This window comes from Homo sapiens, chromosome 4 (assembly GCF_000001405.40).
Source record: "Homo sapiens chromosome 4, GRCh38.p14 Primary Assembly".
Classification (NCBI taxonomy): Eukaryota; Metazoa; Chordata; class Mammalia; order Primates; family Hominidae; genus Homo; species Homo sapiens.
Genome location: NC_000004.12, coordinates 122,780,417 through 122,799,306, shown reverse-complemented (window position 1 = coordinate 122,799,306; position 18,890 = coordinate 122,780,417). Strand labels below are relative to the sequence as shown.

Here is an 18,890-nt window from a genome sequence, read left to right as displayed (position 1 = left end):
TGGTTTAAATTTCATCCTTCATCACTTACTAATTATGTCATCTTAAAATAAATTCAACTCTGCGAGTCTCAATTTCCTCATCTATAAAATGGAGAAAATAATAGAGCCTCATAGCTATTTTTTAAAAGCATTAGATGAAATACTGCATACAAAGCACTTAATTCCTTGTACATAGTAAGTGTTTAGTTAAATTTTCTTCAGTTTCCTCAGTTGTAAAACGGGAATACTCATAATATCTATCTCAGGGGTTCTTGTGAGAATTAAATGAGTTACTATATGTAAAGTACATATAATAAGCACTCAGCAAATGTTAACAATATGATTACAACTATAACCTGATTCAGAGCTTATTGACTGATAATGAACTATCAGTTAAAAGGCCAAAAAGTTTTTAAAAAAGCAAACTCTAAACATTTATTTATAAACAGCCAAAAATGCTTACCAAAAACAATTTTTTTTGGAAACGTTTCTTTGACCCAAAAATCTGGAATCAAGAGAGATCATGTGGCCAAGCCTCAGTTCACTCTGGTGAGTTTCCGGAACACACTGGATAGCTGTACCTCTTATTTAAATTACTAAGCCCTTTTCAATCATGCCACTAATTCTTTTTTTTTTTTAACCAGAATAATATTCCCTCTTCATCTGTGTTTCCTAGAATGAAGAAAAATAATATTTTCCTTTTACCAGTTCCCTATTACTCCTTTTATTTCGTTGTCAGATGTATTTTGAAATAAATTCTTATGTTTTAAAAATTCTTCTCTAGCAGTAGGCATTTAGGATATTTGTTGGTGTATCTGAACCTAGGCCAACGTTTTCATTGCTGCATATTTTGAATATCTTGAATAAATTTTAAATGGTTTCTTTCCATCCTATTCTCTTCTCCGGAGCCAGATCCTGCAAGTCCTGACATGCCCTCTGCAGGGAGGCCCTGGATGGGGGAAGTGATCTAGGGATTGCCCTAACAAGACTGAAACTGAAACCTCTAAAAACTCATCTTGATTTTCCATTTGCCTTTCTGGCACCCTTCCTTCTCTTTACTGAACTTCTCATCCTCCAAGTGTCCCCAAGATAGGGCCTAGACTTTGCCACGCCCTCTTGACTGTGGCAGGGGTGTGTATTTTCTTCTGAAAACCTCCTTGTTTCAGAAGCTCCAGTCAGAGGCATCCGTTGCCTCAGGGAGGATTAGAATTATTAAATCAGGAACGCAAAAAGAAAGAAATAATTATTGTTTAGCTTTTGTGTTTTAAGAATAGACTTTTGAAACCCACAGCTGAGACAACAGTTTGTGAAGGAAAAACAAAAATCAAGGCTGTTGAGAAAGAAAAGGTTTTTTTAGTTTCAAATAGGAAAATCACCAGGCATGAAGTTTAACCTGAACAATACACTGTAAAGAAGGTAGATGAAGAAGCATTGCCCAAGCAGAGGGAGGAAAGCAGCTCAGGGGAAGTGGCTGGCATGGGAATCTGAGGGCACATAAGGGGCACATTTGTTTCCTTATGGGGTTGAAACTCTGGAAGGTACCAGAAGAGAATCTCCCAATAAGTTTGCCGAATTCCAAAATTGAGGGAGCCTCATGTCCCAAGATGTATTTCAGGAATGGTTGTAAGTCTCAAAAGAAGACCCACACACAGCCTAATGTAATCTCATAACCCTGTTCACCCACCAAGTGATAGGAGAGTAGTCAATGCTTTCCAGGCTCCAAGAGAGGAGAGAGTGACAGAGACAGGGAGAAAGAGAGACAGAGAGAACCTATGGGGATCTCAAGGCTGGGATGTGGAGGTGCTACAGCGTTGGCTACATTTGTGGATCAGATGAATTGTCAGGTATGTCTCAGCTGATGATGGCCAGCTGAGGACCAAATGGGTCAGCACATCTGTGCAGCATTTATCCCTTTATCTGCTGATAAATGGATACTGTTGAATGACATAGTAGTGACACAGCGATGGAAGACCAAATATTCAGAACACTGGCCCAATGCCTGGACATCTTGAAAGCTCCTTCTAGTAGACACTATTTGTCTCACCCATTTCCTTTATTTGACCAGCACACCCATCCCCAGCTGTTGTAAGTGTTGGCTGATAATAGCTGACACGGCTACTCTTCTCCAGAAAATTGCCCTCAGCTGGGATCTGCCCAAAACTAGCTGGGAGGTTACATCACTCCAACCCTCGCTGGGAGTCAATGACTAGGACTGAGATGGGGCACAAAAACCTGGCCACCTGACACAGGTGGGCTCAACTTTGTGATTCCATTCACATTCCAGGGTTCCTTTGCAAGCTGAGGCTAGATTTCGGTTGAAATTTCATGTGCTTAACTTCTTCCCCTGAGGAATCCCACTGCCTCCATTTGTTTACAGCTTTGTTCTGAGAGCACTCCCTCAATCAGTCACTTGCATAAGAATCTCTGCCTTAGGCTTGGCTTCTAGAGAATCTCACCTAAGACATTCCCTCCAACACCAGCTACTATTTTGGGAGAATGAGGAGTTGGGGAAAGTTCTTGAATGACTGGCCATGTTTAAATCTGAAATAAGTAAGATACACACTGAAATGATTGTATTTATGTAGAACCAACTCGATTATGTTTTGAGACATCAGGAGAAACATAAAGACTAAGTTTAGCAGATGCAGTGGCTCATGCCTTTTAAGTCCAGCTACTTGGGAGGCTGAGGAGGCTGAGGCAAAGTAGGAAGATTGCTTGAGCCCAGCCAGGGATTTGAGGCTGTAGTAAGTTCTGATCACACCACTGCCTTCTAGCCTGCGGGGCACAGAGTAAGACTCCATTTCAAAAAAAAAAAAGGCAAAAAAATTTTAAATGCTGCATTTCTTCATCAGAGATTATGGCCTATAAAGTATTGGATCCACTATACATAGAAAGCCCTTTTTCTCCAGATCAACCGCAACTTCTTCACAACATTCATTTTGTTGGCATTGTTTCTAGGGTCAAATCAAAATACAAGGATGAGGAGAGCTGGCCAAAAAAACCCACAAGACAAAACAGTATATTCCTGACCAAAAGAGGAAGAACCATGTGTTAAAAGAAAAACTTCAGAAAAATTAAATTTAACCGAGTTTAATTGAGCAAAAAACAATTCTCAAACCAGGCAGTCCCCAGAAATCATAATGGGTCCAGAGAGACACTGACATTGTTGTATGGTCAGAGAGAATTTATGAACAGACAAAGAAAAGTGATGTACACAAAATGGAAGTGAGATACAGAAACAGCTGTATTTGTTACAACTCAGCATTTACCTTATGAACATGCTTTGAACATGGCTTAAACAGTTGGCCACCTTTGATTAGCTACAACTTGGTGATTGGTACGAGAGTAGGTTGCAGTCTATTTACACATCCAGTTAGATTACCATTCACTACGTGTCGAGAAAACTGTTATGCTGAATTTGAAATATATTCAGGAGACAGCTTTAAGCTAAACTTAATTTATTTATTTTTTTTATTTTTTATTTTTTTTTGAGACGGAGTCTTGCTCTGTCGCCCAGGCTAGAGTACAGTGGTGCGATCTCGGCTCACTGCAAGCTTCGCCTCCCGGGTTCATGCCATTCTCCTGCCTCAGCCTCCCGAGTAGCTGGGACTACAGGCGCCCGCCACCACGCCCGGCTAATTTTTTGTATTTTTTAGTAGAGACGGGGTTTCACCGTGTTAGCCAGGATGGTCTCGATCTCCTGACCTCGTGATCCACCCGCCTCGGCCTCCCAAAGTGCTGGGATTACAGGCGTGAGCCATAGCGCCCGGCCGCTAAACTTAATTTAATAATTCCCTCCTTTTGTTCAACCACTCAATAGGTTATGGTGTCCTCATGATCATCCATTTCTTTGAGGTTTTGTTATTCCAGTTGAAGAGATAGCATTTGATATTCTATAGATGGCTGCATGAAAACATTTGAAACTTTTGAGAGAATACAATGCACCAGAGAAACTACTATTATGATTATCAGGAGGATAATACCAAGAGTTTGTAGTACGCTCCTCAGCCAGGGTCCTCATGAGCCAAACCAAGTAAAACCGAATATATCAAAGAAAGAGCCAGATAAAGAGTCTACTTGTTTCAACCAAGCAGCCTGTTTATTAATCCCCTACAACTGAATGTCTATAATACCCAATGTATTTATACATTTACAAGTAGTGTCAGTAATTGCGCAGATTCTTCCCTCCCTGCTTAGCCCATCAGTAATCTAGAGCAATTTTATTATCTACCACAACATTATCAAGAGAATTTAAAGCCTGTTGTGCAACTATAGCCTTTGCAGTAGAATCTGTTATAGCCTATTACGAGGGCTAAATTTCTAATTATTGTTTCATTTACTCCGAACCAAGGAAAAAAGAGACCTAACAACTGATGCCTATCCAGAAGAGATAGGCCTCCAGCAACATTCTCTTTAACTTATGATGTAGGCTAAGAGGAGTGGACCAATGTTCTGACTAATTATAGAACAAAAAGTTACCATTAAAAATTCTCACTCGCATTGGTGCTTCATCTTCCATCCACCAAGGCATAAGGGTGCCCATGTATAAGGCTGGTTGCAAAATCCTCTACAAATAAAATATACCCTGTGAGTGCACACAAGTCCCCTTTTCCAGCTCCATTATTCACAGAGGCATAAGCAGAAAAAAAAATTAAGAGAGGTAAGTGTCTCATGATAGCAGAGAAGTCTGATTTGAGATCCTGGGAAAGCAGTCCACATCTAGGATGCCATCTGCTTCTGGGGAGAAACTTGCCTGGTTAGCTTTTCCTTAAGGTTTCCAATGGGGGTATAGTTCCATGAGTCTGGAGGTGCCTTCTGAGTTGTGAGATTAAGGACCCAAGGTTTGAGGTCTCAAAGTTTTGCTGCAGTGTGAGTGGCAAGTGCAGTCTTTCTCTGGTGTTGTTTCCACAAGATCCAATCTATGGGTTCTAGATTGTGAAAGGTTTGATTGTCCTCAGTCAGTGGATCATGGAAAGCTTCCTTTACCTAGAGGAAATACACTTTGTCATAATGCATTAAGTCCTTGTAGTATTTAGTCAGATCAGAGTTTAGGGGCAGAAGATACACAAGGTTCTATTATTAGGAGCATAGGCCCTCCAGTCACTATTTCATAAGAGGCCAACTTATGTTTTTTCACTGGAAGTGGATCTGATCATCATCAATCTGCAATACCTTTGACCAAGGCAATCAAGTTGATTTAGTTTAGCTTTTCCTAATATTATTGTATCTGTAATATCTTATTTAGCTGTTTTGCAACTTGCCTAGTAAAACAAGTACCTTTGTCACTGGAAATTTCTCCAGGATTGCCCTACAAGGGAAACATATTTCCTAATGGTGTCATAAGCATCAGCCTTCTTGCATGAGAAAGCTTCTATACAACCAGAAAACATGCACTGAAAATAACAATTGAATGAAATACCTCTATAAGTGTTCAAATGGTCTATCAGGCAGCAGAAATATACCCAAAGTTTTGATTGTCTTCCCAGGATTATGGGTTCAACAAACCAAACATTGGTCATAAACCATTTTAGCAATTTAGAGCAGTCCTCACACCAATATATGTTTTTATATAATTTGATAATTTTTTCTCTGCCATGATGAGTCATGGGGTGTAGACCTTTTAATAAGAGAAGGCTTGAGGACTGGAGAAAGACTAGGTGGCTCTCTAGGCTTTTCTTGAGTCCATGCTTAACACTGGATTTATATCCTCTTAAATATCAATTTTGTTTTTCCAAATCCTGTGTGTAGCACTGTTTATTAGATGGGTTATTACAGGTAATTTGACTTGGACAATGGAGTTCATTCAACTTGCATATCTAAAGGATTTTAGTACTGGCTGATTTAGCATGAAAATCTGGCAGAGTATTTCCTTTGTATTCAATTAATTCTTGTCTCGCTTGGGTTAGCAGTTTTATAAATTAGTCCAGCTCTTCATTAGAGTTCTGGGAATTCTTATCTCATCCATATTATATTATCTAAAAATTATCAGAAGCCTATATTCAAGGATGCTCGTCAGTGTCTTTTCCATCCTTTCCATGAACCTCCTTGAAGATACAACACTGTAGGAATTTATTTGTTTGTTAAGAACTTTCAGAAATTGCATCAGAATTAAGCAATTAACTGCAGAAATGACTTTAAATGGTTATAAAGACACAATTGAAAAGGAAGTTTGGTTATTTCCATGGCCTACAATAACAACATAATCATAACTATGAATGATAACATACCAAGACATATCAGAGTTTTAGGAATCTCATATAATTTGGAACATATATTAAGAACATACACATAAAAATATAACTCAAAGAAGGTTGAACACCATTACTTATTTTACAATGCTTTCCATGCAATTTAACATATCAAATAAGCCAATTTATTATCTTTTTTCTGAATGTTGCAGGGGACTTCTAATATCCCAGAGTTAGTTTGAGGCCAAACAGATTCAATTTTGAATTCATGATTTGATTTTGGGAAGACTGCCAAATATGTCAAAGGTTTACAATACTTAATCAAAATAGGACCACAAGTCAGTTTAAAATAACAGTCATTCATCTAGCCGAAGTGGTAATTAAAAGGTTTTGAAATGCAAAAACCTTTATTTTTTGATAGAGAGGAGATAGTTTTCCAAATAATCAAAATACCTAATAAAGTCAGCATGAGATAAAATCTGTCTCTCCTCTTTCCTCTTTTTTTGTAGTTTACTCGAAAGGTGAAAAAAAGTATTTTAATGTCTCTTATTAATGGTATACAAAATTCTTGTTCCAATGAGAAAACCAAATTTTACTTTTGTATATGTATATTATCAATACTAAAGCTAATTTTAATAAAACTTTATAAATAAGTCTATCCAATCTCAGTCAACTTTTGACCACACAAGATTTCCATAAGCCTTTTATATCTTAAACAATTTTTTCTATTGTATTTGTCTTCCGAACTTTCTATATTTACTAGTTTTATCTTTATCTTTTTTTACTCACTCAATTTGAAACAACTTTTAAGTAACTTCTAAATTAGGCAAAATTACTTTTTTTCAACAAATGCACATTTTCAACCCTTTACAACTTTCCTCATCAAAGACATATCTTGCTTTTCTTTATACACCCTGTATACAGAATTATTTCTCTTATGTCCAGTAGTTTTTTTTTTTTTTTTTTTTGACAGAGTTTCACTCTTGTTACCCAGGCTGGAGGGCAATGGCACGATCTTGGCTCACTGCAACCCCTTCCTCCCAGGTTCAAGTGATTCTCCTGCCTCAGCCTCCTCAGTAGCTGGGATTACAGGTGCATGCCACCATGCCCACCTAATTTTTGTATTTTTAGTAGAGACAGGGTTTCACCATATTGGCCAGGCTGGTCTCAAACTCCTGACTTCAGGTGATCCACCCACCTCGGCCTCCCAAAATGTGGGGATTACAGGAGTGAGCCACTGCACCTGGCTGTCCAGTAGTTTTAATTACATATATTAACTACAATTTCACCTCTTACTAACCCTAATTTCTAGTGAAAACCTTAATTTTGAACTGTTTCATGTCAGTATTTGTAGATGAAAAACATTTTATAATTTTTTAGAAATACACTCTTTTTTGTTTATTAATAGATCTAAACACATTTAGCTTTTCTATATCATACTAAAATAATATGCCAAAGTATGTAAATTAAACTTATTTTAATAATTAATGTTTCAGCATTTTAACTTGCTCATAAATGACTGAGGCATTTTATAATTATATGTTACTAAATTTAATATAACATGACTTTAAGATTTTAAACTACTGAAAATAATTTTGAAACTATGATACAGTTGTATTCCCTAGTCATCCTAGATCTCAAGTAGCCATGTGTCACCCAGGATGGCTATGAGGGGCAGGCCCTGTCTGGGTCCTGAATTTACATACCAGGTATAGAGGTCAGGACAGAGGACAGTGCTATAAAGATGATGCCTGGAGGATCCAACTCCTCCAAGAATGGATAGGAGGAAAAGCTGACCCAGGGAGGAAGGGGTCATATTGGGTTTGACTGTGCCTTGCAGCTGGTGGTGTAGGTGCTGAAGACGTGTTCCCAGGCCTTACCATAGCCATCTATCCAGACTCTAGACTCCAGAGCCTCATGACCAAAATATGAGTTCACAAAAAAATCAAGCAAGTATCAAGAATATTAAAGCAGCAACAGTTTTATGACCTTAAAACTTGCATTAGAGGCTGGGCGCAGTGGCTCACACCTGTAATCCCAGCATTTTGGGTGGCCGAGGTGGGAGGATCACCTGAGGTCGGGAGTTTGAGACCAGCCTGACCAACATGGAGAAACCCCATCTCTACTAAAAATACAAAAAATTAGCCCAGCATGGTGGTGCGTGCCTGTAATCCCAGCTACTTGGGAGGCTGAGGCAGATGAATTGCTTGAACCTGGGAGGCGGAGGTTGCAGTGAGCCGAGATTGTGCCATTGCACTCCAGCCTGGGCAACAAGAGTGAAACTCCATCTCAGAAAAAAAAAAAAAAAAAAAAAAATGCATTACAGATAGCATAAACCTGTCCGTCTGTAGGCCCAGGCAAACATTTCTTTTTTTTTTTTAATTTTTAAATACTTTATTGCTAAAAATGCTGACAATCTGAGCCTTCAGTGAGTCATAATCATTTTCCTGGTAGAGGGTCTTGCCTCAGTGTTGATGGTTGCTGACTGATAGGATGCTGGTTGCCGAAGGTTGGCATGGCTGTGGAAATTACTTAAAATTAGACAAGAATGAAGTTTGCTACATTGAGTGACTCTTCCTTTCATTAAACATTTGTCTGTAGTATGTGATGCTGTTTGATAGCATTTTACCAACAGTAGAACTTTCCTAACTGGAATCAATCCTCTGAAACTCTGCCACCGCTTTATCAACTAAGTGCATGTAATATTCTAAATCCTTTGTTGTCATTTCAACAATGTTCACGGTGTCTTCACCAGTAGATTTCATCTCAAGAAACCACTTTCTTTGCTTATGCTTAAGAAACAACTCCTTATCTGTTCAAGTTTGATCATGAGATTGTAGCAATTTGGTGACATCTTGAGGCTCCTCTTCTAATTTTAGTTCTCTTGCTTTTTCTGCCACATCTGCAATTACCTCCTCCACTGAAGTCTTAAACCCCTCAGAGTCATCCATGAGGGTTGAAATCAACTTCTTCCAAACCCCTGTTAATGTTGATATTACAACTTCTTCCCCTGAATCATGAATGTTTTTAGTGGTGTCATTATAGAATAGTGAATTATTACATGCAGGTTTTCAGTTTACTTTGCCCAGATCCATAAGAGGAATCACTATCTATGGCAGCTATAGCCTTACAGAATGCATAAAATGTTTTTCTTAAATTATAAGACTAAAAGTCAAAATTACTCCTTGATCTAGGGGCCGCAGAATGGATGCTATGTTAGAAGGCTTGAAAACAACAATCTCCTTGTACATCTCCATCAGAGCTCTTGGTTGACTGGGTTAATTGGCATCAGCAGTGATATTTTGAACCCAGGCAAACATTTCTGAGTTATAGTTAGCTGACAGTTTTGAAGCCATTCCTATTTTATTTTACTAACAATTTAAAAACCAGCTTTATTTACCAAATATTATTCCTTATGCTTATATGCATAACACATATAGACATATAGACATACATAGAGGCAGATCTTTTTTTTTTTGAGACAGAACTCCTGACCTCAGGTGATCCACCTGCCTTGGCCTCTCAAAGTGCTGGGATTACAGACATGAGCCACCACACACAGCCAGAGGCAGATCTTATAGCTTTCATAAAGAATTTTCATTTGCTGGCTTTAAAATTATTTTCCCCAAATTTACACTATCAACCTTCCAATTACCTGTATCTTTGCCCTAAGCCACTGTTAGCTAGGCAACTCTAAATTTACCCTTCCAAAAGGATTACTCTTTGGTGAAGCAAAGTAGAAATTTATATCTCCAAAGCACAGAGCTGAGACTTCAGGCCTAAATATTGTACCATCATTTGCATATCTCCAAAGCACAGAGCTGAGACTTCAGGCCTAAATATTGTACCATCATTTGCCAAAACAAGAAAGAAAGATGTAAAGGCCCAGTTAAGACAAGCGGACCAGGAAAAGCACCTTAAACAAAGGTAAGACTTGTTATGGAAATTTACGTCATTGGTAAGAGTTTCTAGTGACACAGTTCTTTCTGTTTTCTGAGCGCACAGAAGCAGACAACCTTACAAATGTAAATTTCCTTTATAGATGAAAAAGAAGCCTACTTTACCTGAGGGCTTACCTTGATAAACTCTACCCAGGATAGCTTTCTTTTAGCCTTTAGGGCAGGATAGTAACTAAGCCAAAAGGTTAGCAGATTTAATCAACTAGTCACTTAAGCTTTTTACACGCCTTTTATAAAGTCTTTTAAAAAGCAACAAAATATTGAGACCTTTTTACAGGCTTTTACATATCCATATGCATCACTGGTTGAAACTAATTCGGAGCTTTCTTTTTTTTTTTAGATGGAGTCTTGCTCTGTCTCCACACTGGAGTGCGGTGGCATGATCTCGGCTCACTGCAACCTCCACTCCTGGGTTCAAGCGATTCCCCTGCCTCAACCTCCCGAGTAGCTGGGACTACAGGCACGCACCACCTTGCCCAGCTAATTTTTTGTATTTTAGTAGAGATGGGGTTTCCCCATGTTGGCTAGGATGATCTGGATCTCCTGACATCATGATGTGCCTGCCTTGTCTTCCCAAAGTGCTGGGATTATAGGCATGCGTCACCATGCCCAGCCTTAAAGGCACTTCTTAAAGTTCAGTGTTGTCATTTGGAATGTTCCACTATAATTTTAAATTACCTTTAGTAAGATTTTGCTATTGCTATAAGTGTTACTGCTTCCATGGTCTAACATTTATACATGCACAGGTAAATGTAGCCAGAGGGTGGAGCAGTCAGTTATTCAGAAATTAAAGATTCTAATTTTACATTGAATCTTGGCTGTGGCTCTTAGATTCCATTGACCAACTAAGCCAATCATTTTTCTTTACCTAAGTGCAAAAGAAAAAGAAACAAAGAATATGAAAATCCCTGCAGATTTCCAAAAGTCAGAGTTTGTACCCCTGCAGTATTGCCACTTACTGCCAGTTTCTGTCTGACCCAGCTGGATATCCAAGGCTTCTAAATGAATCCAGTCCAGTTAATTATCAGGTCAGATCCAATCCTGGACCCAGTCCACAGTTTCTGTTGCAACTTCCAAACCCAGTTCAGATTAAAAAAAAAAAATTGCTCAGACAAACACAGATAGTTGAAAGCACAAATCCATGAAACTTCAGAATCTGAGTGAGAACTTAACCCATGATCCCTAGTTACTCTGAGAGAGCAATGGCCACGATAAGCCTGGGTACCTTGCTTGGTCACTTAGTGCTCCTGGGGGCTGCTGGAAGCTCTACTTCATGTCCCACTGTTTTTTTAGGGTGGTTCTATGGATCTATTTATTCATTTATTTTTATTTCAATAGGTTTTTCGGGAACAGGTAACGTTTGGTTACATAGCTAACTTCTTTAGTGGTTATTTCTGAGATTTTGGTGCACCCAACACCCAAGCGGTGTACACTTTACACAATGTGTAGTCTTTTATCCCTTACCCCCTCCCATCCTTTTTCCCTGAGGCAGGACAACAGGGTCTGGAGGTAGGGAACATAAGGCCAATTTGCACTTCAGCTGTGACAGGAAATATCTTCTCCATAGCCTGTAGGCCAAGTAAATAACTTTGTAACTTTACTTCATCCTCTTTATTTACATAGGACATACCCCATGTAACCAGTGGAATCCTCTAGAGGGTATTTAAACTCCCCAAATTTCTGTAATGGGGCCTTTAAGCCACTATGCTTGAGCCTGCTCCCACACTAAGGAGTGTACTTTCATTTTCAATAAATCCTTCATTCCTTCCTTGCTTTGCTTGTGCGTTTTGTCCAATACTTTGTTCAAGATGCCAAGAACCTGAGACACCCTCCACAGGTGACACCCAGAGTCCCCAAAGACCATTGTATTATTCCTATGCCTTTGCATTCTCAAAGCTTAGTTCCCACTATAAGTGAGAAAATAAGATGTTTGGTTTTCCATTCCTGAGTTACTTCACTTAGAATAATGGTCTCCAACTCTATCCAGGTCACTGCAAATGCCATTATTTAGTTCCTTTTTATGGTTGAGTAGTATTCCATGGTATATATATATACCACATTTTCTTTATCCACTCATTGATTGATGGGCATTTTGACTAGCTCCATATTTTTGCAATTATGAATTGTGCTGCTATAAACATGCATGTGAAAATATCTTTTTCATATAATGACTTCTTTTCCACTGGGTAGATACCCAGGAGTGGGATTGCTGGATCAAATGGTGGTTCTACTTTTCGTTCTTTAAGGAATCTTCACATTGTTTTCCATAGTGGTTGTACTAGTTTATATTCCCACCAGCAGTGTAAAAGTGTTCCCTTTTCACCATATCCACACTGTTATAAGTAAAGTTTTGGTGCCGCAAAAGAAATAGCACCCGAATATAAAATTTTCTTTTTAATTCTCAGCAAGGCAACTTACTTCTATAGAAGGATGCGGCCTTAACAGATGGAGCAATGGTGAGCGCACATGTGGACGAGGGAGGGAAAGGGGTTCTTATTCCTGACGCACGTGGCCCCTGATGCTGTGTCATTCCCCTATTGGCTAGGGTTAGACCGCACAGGCTAAACTAATTCCGATTGGCTAATTTAAAGACAGTAACAGGGTGGTGGTTTGATGGGAGAAAATGGTTATGAGGGGTGGAGAATGAGTAAGGGGAAGCAGGTAGCAGGTAATTGGAATGAGTCAGAGTGGAGCAGGTAATTGGAATGAGTCAGGGTGGAGCAGGTGATTGAAATGAGTCAGGGTGGAGCAGGTGATTGAAATGAGTCAGGGTGGAGCAAGTAATTGAAAAAAGTCCCTTTATAAGGAAGTTAAGTTTAAAAGTAGAAGGCAAAGAATTGAACATACTGACATATTGATTCTTTGAGAAGAAATTTAGAACTCATATCTAACATGCCAATCTCCTTTTTTTTTAAATTTCATTTTTACTATGGCGTTTCTTGCAGGAGTAAGGTGATATTGCATTGTGGTTTTGATTTACATTTCCCTGATCATTAGTGATGTTGAGCATATTTTTATATGTTTGTTGGCCATTTGCATATCTTCTTTTGAGAATTGTCTATTCATGTCCTTAGCACATGTTTTGATGGGGTTATTTTTTTTTTCTTGCTGATTTGCTTGAGTTTCTTGTAGGTTCTGGATATTATTCCTTTGTTGATGCAGTTTGTGAAGATTTTTCTCTCACTCTGTAGGTTGTCTATTTACTCTGATCATTATTTATTTTGTTGTGCAGGAGCTTTTTAGTTTAATTAAGCCCTATCTGTTTATCTTTATTGTTGTTGCATTTGCTTTTGGGTTCTTGGTCATGAAGTCTTCGCCTAAGCCAATGTCTAGAAGGGTTTTTCTGATGTTTTCTTCTAGAATTTCTGTGGTTTCAGGTCTTAAACTTAAGTCTTTGATCCATCTTGAGTTGATTTTTGTATAAGGTGAGAGATGAGGATTCCAGTTTCATTCTTCTACCTGTGGCTTGCCAATTATTCCAACACCATTTGTTGAATAGGGTGAACTTCCCCACTTTATGTTTCTGTTTGCTTTGTTGAAGATCAGTTGGCTTAAATATTTGGCTTTATTTCTGGGTTCTCTATTCTGTTCCATGGGTCTATGTGCCTATTTTTATACTAGGACCATGCTGTTTTGGTGACTATAGCCTTATAATATAGCTTGAAATTGGGGAATGTGATGCCTCCAGATTTGTTCTTTTTGCCTAGTCTTGCTGTAGCTATGCGGACACTTCTTTGGTTCCATGTGTATTTTAAGATTGCTTTTTCTTGTTCTGTGAAGAATGATGGTGGTATTTTGATGGAGACTGCAATTTGTAGATTGCATTTGGCAGTATGGTCATCGTCACAATATTGATTCTACTTACCCATGAGCATGGGATGTGTTTCCATTTGTTTGTGTGGTCTATGAGTTCTTTCAGTAGTGCTTTGTAGTTTTCCTTGTATAGGTCTTTCACTTCCTTTCACCTTCCTTGGTGTTTTTTTTGTGGTTTTGTTTTGTTTTGTTTTTTTCAGCTATTGTAAAAGGTTGAGTTCTTTTTTTAGTTTGTTGTTGTTGTTGTTTTAAGATGAGTTTCACTCTTGTTGCCTAGGCTGGAGTGCAATGGCGTGATCTCGGCTCACTGCAACCTCCGCCTCCTGGGTTCAAGTGATGCTCGTGACTCAGCCTCCCAAGTAGCTGGGATTACAGTTGCCCACCACAATGCCCAGGTAATTTTTTGTATTTTTAGTAGAGATGGGGTTTCACCATGTTGGCCAGGCTGGTCTCGAACTCCTAACCTCAAGTGTTCCACCGCCTCGGCCTCCCAAAGTGCTGCAATTACAGGCGTGAGCCACTGCACCTGGCTGAGGTTGAGTTCTTGATTTCTCAGCTTGACTGCTATTGGTGTATAGCAATGCTACTGATTTGTATACATTGATTTTGTATCCTGAAACTTTAATAAATTCATTTATCAGTTCTAGCAGGGGTCCCACTTTTGATGACATCTGTTAAAAGAGAAAACTTTAAACAAAAAGAAAAAAAATGTAGACAAATCAAATTTAACAGAGTTTAATTCAACAAAGAACAATTTGTGAATTTGGCAGCCCCCCACATCAGAATATGTTCAGAGAGACTCCAGTGTTGCCATGTGATTGGAGAGTATTTACAGACAGAAAAAATGTGACCTACAGAAAAACAACTGGATTGGTTACATCTTGGCATTTGCCTTACTTAAAATCGGTTTGAACAGTTGGCTGCCTTTGATTTGCAGAAACTTGGTAATGGTACAAGAATAGGTTGCAGTCTCTTTACACATCCAGTTAGGTTACAGTTCATCACTTGCAGAGAAACCTTTAGGGTGAATTTAAAATATGAAAGGAGGCACCTTTAGGCTAAACTTAATTTAACATGGCATTTAAGAAATTACTTCAGCTGATTTCTAGGAGCAGGAATTTAAAGGGCTAGGTGTGGAGGAGGAAGGAGGAAATTCACCAAGTGAAGCCAGATTCTGAGTTCATATCTCTGGTTGGCTCTAAAAAGATTTTAAACTCTTCTTTTTAGCTGATCATCACACTGGCTTCAGTTGCTGAAGGGAGGTCCCATTCACAGAGTTCTCACAGCCTTCATGGTTCTCAGAGAGGTCCAGGATGAAGTGCACAGGGCTTTTTTGCATGGTCAGGCTTGCACAGTGGCCAGATTGGTTTGGTAACATGTTTACTTTAATTGTAGGTAGCAGTGCTCATGTTTATCTTCTTCTCCAGACTGAAGCTTGTGAAGATCGCTCCAATGTCTCACACAATTTTAAATGCCCCCAGCAAAGCTTAGCACGGGGCTCTATTCACAGTGAACTGCATAATTGCTGTTTCTTTTTTGCATGAGACAGATTCAATTAACAGCACTGTCACATAGCTCCAGAAGGTTGCTGTGAAGTTGGGCCCGTTTGCTAGGATAGAGGAAGGCTCATTTTACTTTTCTCATTAGCTTATTAACTCCAAAGAAATTATCAGAATTTTACACTGCCTAAACCACAGAGGCTGGCCTGAGGAGGAAGTTTCAATGGGGTGAAAAGGAGATGATAGCAGCAAGACCTGGCAGGCACACAGCAAGGCGAGGGCCCTGGGTACTGAGGGGAAAGCACGGGCAGCACTAGCTGCCTCTGTGTCACTAGTTTGGCATCCTTGGCTCTGGATCCCTGGTGGAGCTAGAGTCATTAGGATGACAATAGCTCCTATTAGTGTGGACAGGAATTTTAGGAATTTTGGCAATGGCAACAGTGAGGAATGCGCATTTGACTTTTTATGAAACCTCTATACAGAAGAACTGACCAATACAGAGTGTAAACTGGCCAGCAAGCTCTAGCACAGTGCTTTGATAAACATTTTAGTCCTTTGAGTTACAAATTTTTCTAAGGTGTGTTACATATTTTCTGCCCTTTTCTTTTCTCCTTTCCTTTCCCTTTCCCTTTCCCTTTCCTTTTTGAAACGGAGTCTCACCCTGTCACCCAGGCTGGAGTGCAATGGCGTGATCTCGGCTCACTGCAACCTCTGCTTCCCGGGTTCAAATGGTTCTCCTGCCTCAGCCTCCTGAGTAGCTGGGATTACAGGCGCCCGCCACCACGCCTGGCTAATTTTTGTATTTTTGTATGTATGTATGTATGTATGTATGTATGTATGTGTGTATTTTGAGACAGAGTTTCGCTCTTGTTGGCCGGGCTGGAGTGCAATGGCACGATCTCTGCTCACCGCAACCTCTGCCTCCTGGGTTCAAGCGATTCTCCTGCCTCAGCCTCCCAAGTAGCTGGGATTACAGGCATGTGCCACCATGCCTGGCTAATTTTTGTATTTTTAGTAGAGACAGGGTTTCTTCATGTTGGTCAGGCTGGTCTCAAACTCCCAACCTCAGGTGAGCTGCCTGTCTCAGCCTCCCAAAGTGCTGGGATTACAGGTGTGAGCCACCACGCCTGGCCCAGACTTTGGCTTTTCATTTTTACATGTTTAATACACAAACTGTGTGCTTGCTGTAGTACCTCTTCTAAGCGGAACCCCCTAGGAATGAGACACAAACCACAGACCATACTCCCTGTGTCTGTAGGCATCTGACAATTTGTTCTTGTTTTCTTTACCTTCTTTTATACATACCCTGTTTCTCAAAAGAGGTTTTTGTTTGCAAACACTAAGAAAATAAATAATTTATCATGGCCACTGATTTCTTTCCAGTAAAATGGTATTTGTAACAACTCAAATTGCCCTGAAGTATAAATTGAGATTTCTATGGAATGCATGCCATTTTATGGAATTTTACTTCCATGGCAGTTTTAATGACAGCAACAAGAACAACAAAAGAAACTCATAATCATTAAAACTGAGGAGAAAAACTACTTTTTAGAAAATGGCATCTTTAGATTCTGTTTTCTGATCTTTTTTAGCACATCAGCCTCGATTGAGGGTAAAAATTTGCAATGTTGAGTACTTTTGTTAGTTTTACTGAAAGCCAAAACCAAAAATGTTCGTTTTCAACCTAACTGAACTTCAACATAGCAGTTTATAATTCCGACATAGCAGTTTTGGTTATTAAGAAAATAGTAATGGAATAAAAGAGAAAAATGAAAACAAAAGGAAAAAATCCGCATATTACAATGTGGCTTTGGTAATACTATTTGTCATATATTTGTATGATTCTTCGTATGTTTAAAAGTGCTTGCATATACAGTGTCTTTTTGATCTTTACAACAACCCTATCTACCGGAGAGTTTCAAACATGGAACCCAGAAGAAATAACTTGTTTAATTTTGTAACAGGGCAAGAAAAAATCTAGCTGGGAAAGGGATATCTAATGAAATGTTCATTTAGTGACAGTATTTGTTGTTGTTCTGTTTTGTTTTGTTGACTTGGGAAAGGATGTACTACAAACCTTAAGCTGGACTAGATCAGCTTGGCTAGGAACTTGTAATGGAAGGCTCATGATTAGCTCTAAAAGCGGGAACTGACATTGGTAAATGGTCCAATGATAGTCTCATGGAAATGCTGTTTGCTTTCCAACACTTAAAATTGCTTTTAAATCCCATGTTCCCCTAAACTGTTTATATTACAACTTCATCGAAGTCAAGAATCTTCTGAGCTTGGACAGTGTCCTTCTTTTTCTCTTTTTTAACTTCACTTTTCTTTTTCTTCTAAGTGTGTTAAGAAACTTCTTGCCATATTTGCTATAGATGAGAAGGAAAATACATTTTTCTCCTTTTTTTTTTCCTGATAATGGATCTGAATACCAGTTTTTTTTTTTTGTTCTTTCTGTGTAGATATTATTGTCTTAATCATAACAAGATACTATTACATAGTAATTATTAGGGAAGGTACAAAATATTAATTTGTGGTTTTGAGAAAAAAAGACCAAAACACAGAAGTTTCAGGATTGTCACTACTATTTTAAATCAGAAAACCCCTCTGGCTCCGCATATCAGAAACACTGTGAAGAGGGAGCAGCCAGCACCTGTTTGAAATTAGAAGGATGGAAAATGATGACAGTTTATTCTTTGTGATTTTCTTACATGTTTATTTTCAAAAAATCCCAGAAAAACAGAACAGAGAATTGAACTTATAAGGAAAGAGAAGCTGAATACAGGCATACCTAGTTTTATTGTGCTCTGCATTATTGTAATTTACAGGTATTGTGTTTTTTACAAGTTGAAGATCTGTAGCAACCCTGCAGTGAGGAAGTCTATTGGTGCCATTTGCCCAACAGCATGAGCTCACTTCATGTCTCTGTGTCACATTTTGGTAATTCTCATAATATTTTAAAGTTTTTTATTATTATTATTTCTGTTATGGTGATCTGTGATCGATGATCTTTGATGTTATTATCGTAACTGTTTTGGGGACACCATGAACCATGTCCATATAAGATGGTGAACTTAATTGATAGATGTGTGTGTTCCGATGGCTCTACCAACCAATCATTCCCCCATATCTTTACTTTCCTTGGGCCTCTCTATCCCTTGAGACACAACAATATTGAAGTTAGGCCAATTAGTAACCCTCGAATGGCCTCTCAGTGCTTAAGTGAAAGGAAGAGTTTCATGTCTCTCATTTTAAATAAAAAGCTAGATATAATTCAGCCTAAAGAGAGAGGCATGTCAAAAGCCAAGATAGCCCAAAAGCTAGGCCTCTTGTGATAAGCAGTTAGCCAAGCTGTGAATGCAAAAAAAAAAAGAATTCTTGAAGGAAATGAAAGGTGCTACTCCAGTGAACACAAGAATGATAAGAAAGCAAAACAGCCTTGTTGCTGATGT

At 38.8% G+C, this 18,890-nt stretch overlaps 11 annotated features.

The window, feature by feature from the left end:
* Positions 1-1,200: an enhancer, noted in NCBI's record as "MED14-independent group 3 enhancer chr4:123719262-123720461 (GRCh37/hg19 assembly coordinates)". NCBI's record gives its function as "activates an origin of replication core promoter dependent on BRD2, BRD4, P300/CBP and CDK7 cofactors, and independent of MED14, by STARR-seq in HCT116 cells {active_cell/tissue: HCT116}" and the evidence as "EXISTENCE:reporter gene assay evidence [ECO:0000049][PMID:35650434]".
* Positions 1-1,537: a biological region, named in NCBI's record as "MED14-independent group 3 enhancer GRCh37_chr4:123719262-123720461".
* Positions 370-953: an enhancer, noted in NCBI's record as "H3K27ac hESC enhancer chr4:123719509-123720092 (GRCh37/hg19 assembly coordinates)". NCBI's record gives its function as "activates a minimal SCP1, AML or CMV promoter by ChIP-STARR-seq in primed H9 embryonic stem cells {active_cell/tissue: H9 hESC(primed)}" and the evidence as "EXISTENCE:reporter gene assay evidence [ECO:0000049][PMID:30033119]".
* Positions 954-1,537: an enhancer, noted in NCBI's record as "H3K27ac hESC enhancer chr4:123718925-123719508 (GRCh37/hg19 assembly coordinates)". NCBI's record gives its function as "activates a minimal SCP1, AML or CMV promoter by ChIP-STARR-seq in primed H9 embryonic stem cells {active_cell/tissue: H9 hESC(primed)}" and the evidence as "EXISTENCE:reporter gene assay evidence [ECO:0000049][PMID:30033119]".
* Positions 1,919-2,213: a silencer, noted in NCBI's record as "tiled region #4773; HepG2 Repressive non-DNase unmatched - State 23:Low". NCBI's record gives its function as "represses a minimal TATA promoter and a strong SV40 promoter by Sharpr-MPRA in HepG2 cells {active_cell/tissue: HepG2}" and the evidence as "EXISTENCE:reporter gene assay evidence [ECO:0000049][PMID:27701403]".
* Positions 9,970-10,897: an enhancer, noted in NCBI's record as "OCT4-NANOG-H3K27ac-H3K4me1 hESC enhancer chr4:123709565-123710492 (GRCh37/hg19 assembly coordinates)". NCBI's record gives its function as "activates a minimal SCP1, AML or CMV promoter by ChIP-STARR-seq in primed H9 embryonic stem cells {active_cell/tissue: H9 hESC(primed)}" and the evidence as "EXISTENCE:reporter gene assay evidence [ECO:0000049][PMID:30033119]".
* Positions 11,826-12,753: an enhancer, noted in NCBI's record as "H3K27ac-H3K4me1 hESC enhancer chr4:123707709-123708636 (GRCh37/hg19 assembly coordinates)". NCBI's record gives its function as "activates a minimal SCP1, AML or CMV promoter by ChIP-STARR-seq in naive H9 embryonic stem cells {active_cell/tissue: H9 hESC(naive)}" and the evidence as "EXISTENCE:reporter gene assay evidence [ECO:0000049][PMID:30033119]".
* Positions 11,826-13,223: a biological region, named in NCBI's record as "CDK7 strongly-dependent group 2 enhancer GRCh37_chr4:123707239-123708438".
* Positions 12,024-13,223: an enhancer, noted in NCBI's record as "CDK7 strongly-dependent group 2 enhancer chr4:123707239-123708438 (GRCh37/hg19 assembly coordinates)". NCBI's record gives its function as "activates an origin of replication core promoter dependent on BRD2, BRD4, P300/CBP, MED14 and CDK7 cofactors, with strong dependence on CDK7, by STARR-seq in HCT116 cells {active_cell/tissue: HCT116}" and the evidence as "EXISTENCE:reporter gene assay evidence [ECO:0000049][PMID:35650434]".
* Positions 12,851-12,910: an enhancer, noted in NCBI's record as "active region_21876". NCBI's record gives its function as "activates an Ori minimal core promoter by ATAC-STARR-seq in GM12878 lymphoblastoid cells {active_cell/tissue: GM12878}" and the evidence as "EXISTENCE:reporter gene assay evidence [ECO:0000049][PMID:35858748]".
* Positions 13,996-14,991: an enhancer, noted in NCBI's record as "H3K27ac hESC enhancer chr4:123705471-123706466 (GRCh37/hg19 assembly coordinates)". NCBI's record gives its function as "activates a minimal SCP1, AML or CMV promoter by ChIP-STARR-seq in primed H9 embryonic stem cells {active_cell/tissue: H9 hESC(primed)}" and the evidence as "EXISTENCE:reporter gene assay evidence [ECO:0000049][PMID:30033119]".